We start from the raw sequence: 12,891 nt of genomic DNA on the forward strand, positions 1-12,891 counted from the left end.
TAAATATACAGGGGATAACTCTAGGCTCTATGACTAGCTGGGAATTACAGAATCGTAGCACTGATTCCAGGAATCTCTGGGCTTCTTGACAGCCATTTGATCTGTCTAATACAGGCAGATTGGGCTGGGAGAATACTGGGAATGCAGAGTCCCACTTCCTGGGTGTGCAGAGGTCCACTTCACCTTGTCTTCCCCTCCAAGATAGGAACTTTAACCCACCACATTGAAAACGGGAACTGGGGAGAGGGCAGGATTAATAGCCAGATGTATTAAAATTGGTTTTGCATTGTCAGGGAACATAATTTCACCATGTTATTTCTACATTATTGTACATGTGGATTTTACTATAATTACTTGTTTAATGACTACCTCCTCCTCTAGACTCTATGCTACGTGAAGATAAGGGCCCTATTAATCTTGTTTCTTACAGTGCAGGGCATTTCTTAGCTCACATTAGTTGCTTAATAAAAATTTGTTAAATTAAATCGATGTCATATCTAAGAGAAGACATAAAATACTTTTTTTTTCCTTTTTTTTTTTTTAAAGATAGCATCTCTCTCTGTTACCCAGGCTGGAGTGCAGTGGCATGATCATGGCTCACTGCAGCTTCGACCTCCCAGGTTCAATCAATCCTCATGACAGCCTCCTGAGTCGCTGGGACTATAGGCACACGCCACCACGCCCAGCTAATTTTTAAATTTTTCTGTAGAGTTGGGGTTTTGCCATGTTGCCCAGGCTGGTCTTGAACTCCTGGGCTACCCACCTAGACCTCCCAAAGTGCTGGGATTACAGGCATGAGCCACTGAGACTAGTGAAGACCTAAAAGACTTTTAAAATCTAGTTGGGGGGAAAGAGTAGGGGTAAAGATATTCTTCGCAGAGGGAAACATGAAAAAAGTATAAGAAGTACAAGAGAGTATGCCATGTTTAGGGAATGGTAAGTAATTCACAAAACCAGAGTATACATGCAAGAAGTGGCAAGAGTAAGTGTGGTAAGAAATGAAACTGGAAAGAGAAGCAGAAGTTGGATTGCTAAGGACAAGGAACTTGGACTTGATCCTAAGGGCAATGGGAAACCATTGAGGGATCTTAAAAGGAAATTAAATGGTAAAATTTGCACTTTAGAAATATATACAATGTATTGAAGAGGTAAAACTGGATGCAGAGAGAAGAGTAGGTTATTTATGCAGCTTGTACCTGCATAATCATAGCACATGTTACAGGAAGCTGCCCTGCCCTCAGCTTGCATGGAGAGGTAGTGCTCAGCAGCCCTGCTTTGCACTCTGCAAAACTGCTCTCCCCAACACTTAGCTACATCTGACTGGACACGGGATGGGCACCTGATCCGAAGGAAACTAATCCATAGGCTGGCAAGTGGTCTATGACATGGCCAGCATGGAAAATAGTAATCAAGATAGTGTGGTATTAACATTAAGATAGGCAAATAGATCAATAAAAGAAAATAGAGGGTCCAGAAATAGACCCACAATTACATGGTCAATTAAATTTCAGCAAAGGTGCAAAGGCAATTCAATAGAGAAGGATAGTCTTTTCAACAAATGATACTGGAAAAATTAAATATCCATATGTAAGAAATTGAAATTTGATTCATATACTAAAATTAACTCAAAATGAATTATAGACCTAATCTAAAACCTAGACCAAAAAAAATTTAGGAGAAAATCTTTGTGAGCTTGGGCTAGGCAAAAATTTTTGAGAAATGACACCAAAAGCACAATTCATGAAAGAAAAAGTTGTTAAAATCAACTTCATTGAAATTTAGAATTTTTGCTCCTTAAAAGACTTAGAGAATGAAAGGACAACCCCAGACTACGAAAAAATATTTGCAAATTACACAACTGATAAGGGACTTGTATCCATAATATATAAAGAATTCTCAAAACACAATAAGTAAATAAATAACCTAATAAAAAATGGACAAACGAATGAACAGGCACTTCACCAAAAAAGATATAATGGTGTAAAAAAAAAAAGCACATGAAAAATACTCATTAGTCATTAGAGAAATGTAAATTAAAACTCCAAATGAGATATCATTACACATCTGAATGAGAATGGCTAAAAATAACAAGACCAACAATACCAAGTGTTGTCAAGGATATATAACAACTAGAACTCTATCACACTGCTTATGGGAATGTAAAATGGTACAACCACTTTAGGAAAAAGCTTGGTAGTTTCTTTAAAAGTTAAAAATACACACCCTATAATGAACATGATTCATCCCTTTTACTGCTAAGTAATTACTCAAGATAAAAGAAATACACATGCACACAAAGACTTGTACAAGAATTTTTATAGCAGCTTTATTGCTAACAGCCAAAAACTGGAAACAACATGAATGCCCATCAGTAGATTAATGTATAAAGCCAGCCTACCTAACAGAATAGTTGCTGTGTGATTATCTTTATATAAAACCCTAGAAAATGCAACTAATCTGCAGTGACAGACAACAAATCAGTGGTTGCCTGTTGTGGAGGAAGAAGAGGCAGGTGTGAGGGTAAGGGTTTTATATTAGGAAATGAGGAAATGTTTGGGGGTGGTATGTTTATTTTCTTGAATGTGGTGATGGATTCATTGGTGTAGATATATGTCAAAACTTATGAAATTGTACACTTTAAATATGTACTGTTTATTGTTACAATATACAATAGTTTGAATAAAATTCTTTAAAGTGTTTTTAAAGAGAGAGCATGGAAGGAGAGAGTTTCTTGTAGTGGTTGAATATGAAGGGTATTCAGAGTACACTTGGACAGAGACAGATAACACTCCTATTTGACATATTTCAACATGGGGTATCAGGCAGATGAAAGATTTCTTTGCTCAAATGCTGTCTATTTTGTTGGTAAGATTGGCAGCAAAGCTTTCTGCACAAATGACCTAAAATAGGTTGGCAGAAGTCTTGAAGAAGGTGGAGTAGGTTTGAAACAGCTGCTGGAGAACCCAGACCCAGAACTCTTGGCATTTGAATAGAGCTGGAGGTTCTGTTGATATTGGGGACCAAGAATCTATGGTAACACTACTTCCATATCATTATGTAATTTTCTATAGCACATGTCAATAGTACAGGCAAAGAGACACAGTCCTGTTTTTCCTCTGAACACATTTCATCTCCCAGAAGTTTCTTTAATCTCCCAGAAGTTTCTTTAATCTCTTGAGCACTCAGATTTCTATGGCATCTGCTCCACCACTTTGTCAGACATGCCAAGATATTTTTCATCCATTCATTCAACAGCTATCTATTGAGGCCCTTTAACTCAGCTGTGAGGCGTCAGGTGGTACTGAATATACAATAGTCCAAATATACATGATCCATGCTTTGAGGCTTACATGTCTGAATATGCAACGTACTCCCACAGGATCTAACACTGATCACTTGCAGACCTCAGAGGACTGTGCATTTCCCAAGCATAGGTCTCCCCGGGACTCATATCAGCCACACATCACTTGACCATTAATAATCAAGGTGGCCTCATTGCAAGTGCCCATTTTCAAGCTTGACCCATCTCAGGTTCCTCCTTTTTATTGTGGATATATATATACACACATATAATTTTTCTTTTCCAAGACAGAGTCTTGCTCTGTTGCCCAGGCTGGAGTGCAGTGGTGTGATCTTGGCTCACTGCAACCTCTGCCTCCCGAGTTCAAGCAATTCTCCTTACTCAGCCTCCCGAGTAGCTGGGACTGCAGCCACGTGCCACCACGCACGGCTAGTTTTTGTATTGTTGTAGAGACGGGGTTTCACCATTTTGGCCAGGCTGGTCTCGAACTCCTGACCTCATCAGCTGCCCATCTCAGCCTCCCAAAATGCTAGGATTACAGGCTTGAGCCACCGCACCCCGCCTACTGTGGATATTAAAAGTTGGGAGAGGTGTGTGGCCAACACTGAATTTGTAGGATCTATAACTAGAGACCTGAGGGCCCAAGGAAATGTTCACAGCTATCTAGTATGCTGTCAGATAACAGGTTTAGGTATTTTCTTTCTTTGAAATTCAATAAATTTTCACAATGACTTTTCATTAAAGATGAATGCTAAATTGCTATCTCACCCACAGTTTGGATAACAGATTATTAGAAAATCTGTACATATTAAGTAATGTATCACTGTTGCATCAAATGGAAGTGTATCTCTTTATCCTCTTTAAAGAGAGATATCAGATACATAATACTCAAATATCTGCAGTTGTGTGTTTACACACACACACACACACACCAGGCAGGGGAAGAGAGAATGTAAAGATAGTAATCACATTTGCTTTGAGGGGAGATAGAAAAGTAAAACTTTCTTTCTACCATTACATCAGTTTTGAGTATACTAGGAAATCCCATATGAAATTATAATTCTAGGATAGAATATTCTGTCTTTTAGGGCACCACCAGAAGAGAATACTAAACAGTAATAAAGAGGAAAAGATAGACATACACATGTTCTTTTCTCTTCTGCTGTTGTTAGCCTAAAAAAATTTAAAATGTGCACGAATGCATAAGGGATATTTATTTTAGTGAAAAGGCGAAAATACCAAATGCCTAAAGGTTGGGAATAGAAATTGATGAGTTTGGCAGTAGGCTTTGGAAATGAGCAGTGATAGCCAATCTGACTAATATGAAAAAAATGTTGCAAAGAAGCACTAGAAACAGAAAAAGCAACAACTTTTTGCATTGTGCATAAAAACGAAATGGTCTTGTAATAGCCCCGGTAGAAGTTTTCTTGTGACAACGAGACTTTCCTAAAAAGGAACAAAATGGAATAAGGAGCATCTGCCTGCAATATCCCTAAAGAGACAAAGTGTTAATCTCTCTATCCCTATAAAGATAGTGAATTTTTTTGTTTGTTTGAGGTGGAGTCTCTCTCTGTCACCCAGGCTGGAGTGCAGTAGTGCAATCTCAGCTCACTGCATCCTCCACCTCCTGTGTTCAAGCAACTCTTCTGCCTCCACCTCCCAAGTAGCTAGGATTACAAGCACCCACCATCAGGCCTGGCTAATTTTTGTATTTTTAGTAGAGACAAGGTTTCACCATGTTGGCCAAGCTTGTCTCGAACTCCTGGCCTCAAGTGGTCCACCCACCTTAGCCTCCCAAAGTGCTGGGATTACAGGTGTGAGCCACCACACCTGGCCAAAAATAGTGAATTTTTTTTTTTGAGACGGAGTTTCGCTCTGCTGTTGCCAGGATGGAGTGCAGTGGTGTGATCTCAGCTCACTGCAACCTCCACCTCCCGGGTTTAAGCGATTCTCCTGCCTCAGCCTCCCGAGTAGCTGGGACTACAGGCACGCACCACCACATCCAGCTAATTTTTGTATTTTTAGTAGAGACGGGGTTTCACCATGTTGGCCAGGATGGTCTGGATCTCTTGACCTCATGATCTGTCGGCCTTGGCCTCCCAAAGTGCTGGGATTAAAGGTGTGAGCCACCGCTCCTGGCCGTGACTTTTTAATAGGAAAAGAAATCGTGTGCCAGATACTTCCCTAAACGAGGTCAATGCACAGATTCTCTATATAGCCATCATAAGTAATCTGGCCAGAAATCCCAGGATAATCATCATCCCTAATTAAATGTAAAGCATACATGGAGCCAAATATCAGTATCGTGCCTGCAAGTATACTTGCCAGGATGAATAGTTGAAATAGTAACAGAAAATAAGAGCAGATTCATGAATCAGCCTCTTAAAAGTGAAGAAGGCGGCAGGGCACGGTGGCTCACGCCTGTAATCCCAGCACTTTGGGAGGCCGAGGCAGGCGGATCACGAGATCAGGAGATCCAGACCACGGTGAAACCCCGTCTCTACTAAAAATACGAAAAAAATTAGCCGTGCACGGTGGCGGGCGCCTGTAGTCCCAGCTACTCGGGAGGCTGAGGCAGGAGAATGGCGTGAACCCGGGAGGCGGAGCTTGCAGTGAACCGAGATCGCGCCACTGCACTCCAGTCTGGGGCGACAGAGGGAGACGCCGTCTCAAAAAAAAAAAAAAAAAAAAAAAAAAAAAAAAAAAAAAGTGAAGAAGGTTTGACGCTGGAATTCTTAATTTCCCCTAGTTTTCGGAAGCTTAACTATTGAGATAAGGAATTGTTAGGCTTATTACTATTATAAGTGTGCTCTCAGTACTTTTTATTTAGATAAATAATTGGAGAATACTTACATAAATAACCCTTAAGACAGACTGCTTTGTGAGTTATCTGTGGTGACTTGTGAAGAATTTCCCCTCTTCCCAAAGGTAACCTACTCTGCCTCCCCTCACCCACCCTTAGGTTTGCTTGTATCTTGAAAGATTGGCCTGCGAGCCTTCAGGCAAACCGTCGTGGAAATCGTTTTTCTCCTGGCATCTATGAGTTTATGATTTCTCTCTGCAAAGTGCCAGAGTACAAGATACCTAAATTGTTGTAAGAGCCAAGTTTGGGATTCCATCACTGACATGCTAATTCAGTCAGCCATTATCTATTGTATGCCTACTGGATCGCAGGAATCACACTGTTTAGGATCCTGGGCACAATGCTATAAACAAAATTGACAAGATCCCTGTCCCTGTGAAGCTTACATTCTATTATCGTGACTGTAGCTCAACACTAAGAGTTGATAAATAAGAAACCACTATGGGCACTTCAAGCAAAGGATTCTTAAGTAATCCTATGAATCAACTGGGCTGGGGAAGGCAGACCCACCCTTAATCTGGTGGGCACAATATAAGAACTGTTAGGAAGGGAAAAATGGAATTAGAGTACTAATCTGAAGAGAGACCTCCTGGTTAGGAAGCCAGAATCTGCTCAGGCAGGCAGGCTTAGGTGAGTGAATGAAGGAAAAATCTATTATTTTGCAGGTAGGGAAGGCAGCACAGTAGGGGCTCTGTCAGACCCAGAATAAAGCATTCTTGGAATGAGAGCAGGCTGTTGCTTATGTGCTATGATTTGAGATGAATTGGGAAAGCTGCCAGTTCAAAAATGTCTCTTCCACAGATGTCTGGAAAATGTGAATGTTTACTTCTCTTGGGAGAGGTGGTGGTTAAAAGCATGGACTTTGGAATCAGGCAGTCTTGTTTGTGAATTGCAGCTCTGCAACTTACTGTGCGACTTTAGAGAAGTTACTTTTCTTTCTGAGCCTCAGCGTCCTCATCTATAAAATGGGGATAATCATACCCCCTCACAGTTTTTTTATAAGACTTTTAAAAAGCTATTATAAATCAAATAGTAGCACAGGTACCCAGAAACAGTAAATATTTAATAAATAACAGAATTCTTAATATTATATATAATGAATGTTCCAACTAACATTCATTGAATTCCCCCTGTGTGCCTGGCACTGTACTGGTCATGATGCAAAAAGGAAGACAGTCTTGAAAACAGCTGACTACAGTAAAATGTGAAAGATGCTCTCGGAGATAGTTATGGAATAAAACTTTGTTTTCTTTTTCTCAAAGCAGAGAAAGGAGGGCGGACTTTTCAGGAAGATGGAATAAAAAAGTCTCAGTAGGTGAGAAATATTTTAGGTGAGCTTCTTCCAAGAAACTAAGATGTAAATAGTAGAAATTGAACATCAATATAAGAGGATACTTCCTCCTAAAGACGCTGTGTTCCTTTGACTTCTGCGGCACAGCACTCTCCCCGTTTCTCTGCAGTTTCTCTCTTAAGTTCTTCCCAGTCTCCTTTGTGGTGTCCTTCACCTCGACTGTTACATGTTGAAATTGCTCAAGACTGCCTGAGGTGTTTTCCTACTCCATATACTCTCCTTAGACATCTCATCTACTACCAAGGGTCCTAGGGTTTCAATTACCACTTAAATGCTAAATCCCAAATTTTTATTTCCATGTCAGATCTCTCATGAACCACTCCTATTTCTGACAGACTCATATTTCCAACTATTTTGTGAATATCTTCATTTGGGTGTCTTAAGAATATTTCAAAATTAAATTGTCCAAAACTAACTAATCTCCTTTCCAAGCCCTTTCTGGTGTTCCCAGTCTCAGTAGTACACCATCCACTCTAGTGCTGTCCAAGTTAAAACCTGGCAGTCATTCCTGACTTCAATCTCTCCCTCAATCATCACATTTAATTAGTCATCAAGTCTATTCCTTCCACATCTTAGACATGAATGTCTCAAGTCTGTTCATTTCCCTATCCTCATTGCCACTACCGTAGTCTACCTGGGCTATGGTAATGTCTCCCCATACTTAGGCCTCTTCTCTCCCATCCAATCCAGTCTTTATACAGCAGCCAGAAAATGCAGCTCTGTCCATGTCAACACTTTGTTTAAAACCCTCCAAAGGCTACTCATTCCCTTTAGGATAAATTCCACATTCTTTCCCAAGCTGTCGCTCTTTCAGCTCCAGTCACTGTGAAACTCTCCTTTCCTGGGATTCACTACACAGGCTATTGCTTATCTCGCAAGTTTCCCCACTTGTTTCCTCTGCCTGAAATGCTTTGCTCTCCTCTTAACCTAACTACTTCTAGTCATGCTTTAATTATCTCTTAAAGAAGATCACTTCCTCAGTGAAACCTTCATAACCCATCACTCTAGGTCTAACCCCCCTCTAATCCCTGTGTTTCAATATTACAGACATTTATCAAGAACCTACCTTGGAGGCGGGGCTCGGTGGCTCATGCCTGTAATCAGAGCACTTTGGGAGGCGAAAGCAGGTGGATTTCTTGAGTCCAGGAGTTGAAGACCAGCCTGGGCAACATAGTGAAACCCCATCTCTACAAAAAATACAACAATTAGTTGGGGATAGTGGTATGTTCCTGTAGTCCCAGCTATTCAGGAGGCAGAGGTGGGAGGATCGCTTGAGCCTGGGAAATCGAGGCTGCAGTGAGCTGTGATCATGCCACTGCACTCCAGACTGGGTAACAGAGTGACATACTGTCTCAAAAAAAAAAAAAAAAGAACCTAATATGGACGAGGTACTGTATCTGGAACTAGGGATATATATTAGTGAAGAAATACAGACATAATGCCTTCCCTCACATAGCTTAGAGCCGAATGGAAGAGACAGAAATTATCAAATAATCACACATGTACCTACAAATTTTAAGTATAAAAAGTGCTATGAAATAGAAGTACATGATGCTTTGAAAGGACTTGGTAGCACAGAAAAGTCATCCCCAAGGAAATGATGATTGACCTAGACCAGAAGGGTGAGCAGGAGTTAATGATGAATTGGAAGAAGGAAATTATTTTCTTTCTTTTTTTTTTTTTTTTTTTTTTGAGATGGAGTCTCGCTCTGTCACCCAGGCTGGAGTGAAGTGGAGCAATCTCGGCTCACTGCAGCCTCCGTCTCCTGGGTTCCAGCCATTCTCCTGCCTCAGCCTCCCAGGTAGCTGGGATTGCAGGCATGCGCCACCACACCTGGCTAATTTTTGTATTTTTAGTAGAGACGAGGTGTCACCATGTTGGCCAGGCTGATCTTGAACTCCTGACCTCAGGTGATCTGCCTGCCTTGGCCTCCCAAAGTGCTGGGCTGAGAGGCATGAGCCACTGTGCCTGGTCAGGTAATTAGTTTCTGTACGGGGACAGCATATTATAGGCCCTGGGTCAGGAAAGATTTAGATGCATTCAAAATCTGATAGAAGACCAGTGTAACTGGATATCAAAAAGCAAGGGCACACTGTGATGTTAATCCTGAATGTCAACTTGATTGGATTGAAGGATGCAAAGTATTGTTCCTGAGTGTGTCTGTGAGAGTGTTGCCAAAGGAGATTAACATTTGAATCAGTGGGCTGGGGAAGGCAGACCCACCCTTAATCTGGTGGGCACAATCTAATCAGCGAATATAGAGCAGGCAGAAAAACATGAAAAGGTGAGACTGGCCTAGCCTCCCAGCCTACATCTTTCTCCCATGCTGGATGCTTCCTGCCCTCGAACATCAGACTCCAAGTTCTTCAGTTTTGAGACTCAGACTGGCTCTCCTTGCTCCTCAAACTTGCAGACAGACTATTGTGGGACCTTGTGATTGTGTAAGTTAATACTTAATAAACTCCTATATATATATATATGCATATATATATATGCATATATATATATGCATATATATACGCATATATATATGCATATATATATGCATATATATATGTGTGTATATATATGCATATATATGTGTGTATATATATGCGTATATATGTGTGTATATATATGTGTATATATGTGTGTATATATGTGTATATATATGTATATATATGTGTATATGTGTGTATCTATATATGTATATATATGTGTGTATATATGTGTGTGTGTGTATATATATGTGTGTGTGTGTGTGTATATATATATATATATATATATCCTATTAGTTCTGTCCCTCTAGGGAACCATGACTAATACAGATTTTGGTGCCAGGAGTGGGGTTCCAGAGAAACAGAATATTAAGGATGGAGTTCTTTCATTGGTTTTGGGGTTTCTGGAGTTAGCTGCTTAATATGGTGAGACCTGAAAATGCTAAGGACTCTACTTCTAATAGTATGGAGAACACTGATAGTCCTTGGCATGAACTGCTTATAGAGTTATGCAAAATAAATGCATTTGACACTCCTGATTCACCGCTCATGAGCAACAAGGAGATTAGTGACTCCATACATAGTACCTTTGATTATATGTGAAGAACCAAGGAACATAATGAAGCTGGTTGGTTACTCCTAAGTTCAGTGGACAAAGTGATGAAAGAAAACGATGAACTCAGGGATTCTGTATCCTTGCTTCAGAGGAAGATACTGAGCCTCAAATCTGCTAAGATTGCCATAAATGAGAGTCTTATCTCCTGTAGAGAAAGAGCTGAAATTGTGGAAAAACAGACGCAAGCTCTTATCATGCGAGTGGCTGACCTGCAATGAAATGTGCATGCACAGCCTCTCCAGGTGTCTACTGTTAAAGTGAGGGCATTGACTGGAAAAGAATGGGACCCTGCAACTTAGAATGGGGGATGTGTGGGAGGACCCTGATGAAGCTGGGGCCACTGAGTTTGTAAACTCTGATGAACCTTTTTTGCCAGAAGGAACAGCTTCGCCATCCCAGTAGTGGCAACATCCCCTTGCTGACCCATGCTGCCATCAGCCTTTCCACTTTGTCTGAGGAGATAAACCTTGCACTGCCTGAGGAAATAGTGATGGCCTCCCCTGAGACAGTTGCCAGACAAAATAATGTTGATTTTCCTCAGGGGCCACCCCCAATACCCCTGTTTGCTTTTAGACCTATGACTAGACTAAAGTGCCTTCAGGCCCCTAGCTCCTAGTAGTGAGGTTCAGAGTGTGACCCACGATGAGGTGCACCACACTCGAAAAAGAACTGCTTGAGTTCTCTAATTCATATAAACAGAAATCTGAAGAACAGGCATGGGATTGGATATTAAGGATATGGGATAATGGTAGAAGGAACAAACAGTTGGATCAGGCTGAATTTATTGATCTGGGCCCACCTAAGTAGGGACTCTGCATTTAATGTTGCAGCTCAGGGAGTTAAAAAAAGGTTCTGGCTAGGCATGGTGGCTTATGCCTGTAATCCCAGCACTTTGGAAGGCCGAGGCAGGTGGATCACCTGAGATCAGGAGTTGGAGAGTAGCCTGACCAATATCATGAAACCCCATCTCTACAAAAAATAAAAAAAATTAGTCAGGCGTGGTGGCATGCACCTGTAGTCCCAGCTACTCGGGAGGCTGAGAGAGGAGAATTGCTTAAACCCAGGAGGTGGGGATTGAAGTGAGCCATCTCAAAGAAAAAAAATTAAAGCACTTATTTGGGCCAGGCACAGTGGCTCATGCCTATAACCCCAGCACTTTGGGAGACTGAGGCAGGTGGATCACCTGAGGTCAGAAGTTCGAGACCAGCCTGGCCAACATGGTGAAACCCCCTCTCTACTAAAAATACAAAAATTAGCTGGGCATGGTGGCAGGCACCTGTAATCCCAGCTACTTGGGAGGCTGAGGCAGGAGAATGGCTGGAACCCGGGAGGTGGAAGTTGCAGTGAGACGAGATCATGCTATGCTACTCTAGCCTGGGCAAAAAGAGTGAAACTCTGTCTCAAAAAAAAAAAAAAGACTCTAATAGCTTATTTGCTTGGTTAGCTGAAATATGGATTAAAAGATGGCCCACTGTGAGACAGCTGGAAATGCCTGATATCCCTTGGTTTAATGTAGAGGAAGGGATCCAAAGGCTTGAGGAGATTGGGATGGTGGAGTGGATTAGTCACTTTATTCCTACTCATTCCAGCTGGAAGGGTCCAGAAGATATACCCTTGACCAATGCCTTGTGAAATAGATTTGTGAGGGCAGCACCTGTATCTTTGAAGAGCCCTGTAATTGCTCTTCTCTGTATGTCAGATCTAACAGTGGGAACCACAGTCACTCAACTATTAAATTTAAATTTAAATTTAAACACAATGGGAATAATTGGATTCTGAGGTGGCACGGGCCAAGTGGCAGCACCCCACCATCAAAGGCAAGGAGGGCGTAGCTACCATAATGGACAGCAGAGGCAAAGCAGCAATCAGAATAGTCTGACTCTTGTAGAGCTCTGTCATTGACTTGAAAGACGCAGGGATGATGATTCCCACCACATCCTTGTTCAACACTCCCATTTGGCCAGTGCAGAAGACAGATGGATCTTGGAGAATGACAGTGGATTATTGTAAGCTTAATCAAGCGATGACCCCAGTTGCAGCTGCTGTACCGGATTTGGTTTGATTGCTTGAGGAAATTAACACATCTCCTGGTACCTGGTGTGCAGCCATTGACTTGGCAAATGCCTTTTTCTCCATTCCTGTCTATAAGGCCCACCAGAAGTAATTTGCCTTCAGCTGGCAAGGCTAGCAATATACCTTTACTGTCCTACCTCAGGGGTATATCAACGCTCAGTCTTTGCGTGGTAATCTTATTAAGAGAGACCTTGATTGCTTTTTGCTTCT

This window comes from Homo sapiens, chromosome 1 (genome assembly GCF_000001405.40).
Source record: "Homo sapiens chromosome 1, GRCh38.p14 Primary Assembly".
NCBI classification, from domain to species: Eukaryota; Metazoa; Chordata; class Mammalia; order Primates; family Hominidae; genus Homo; species Homo sapiens.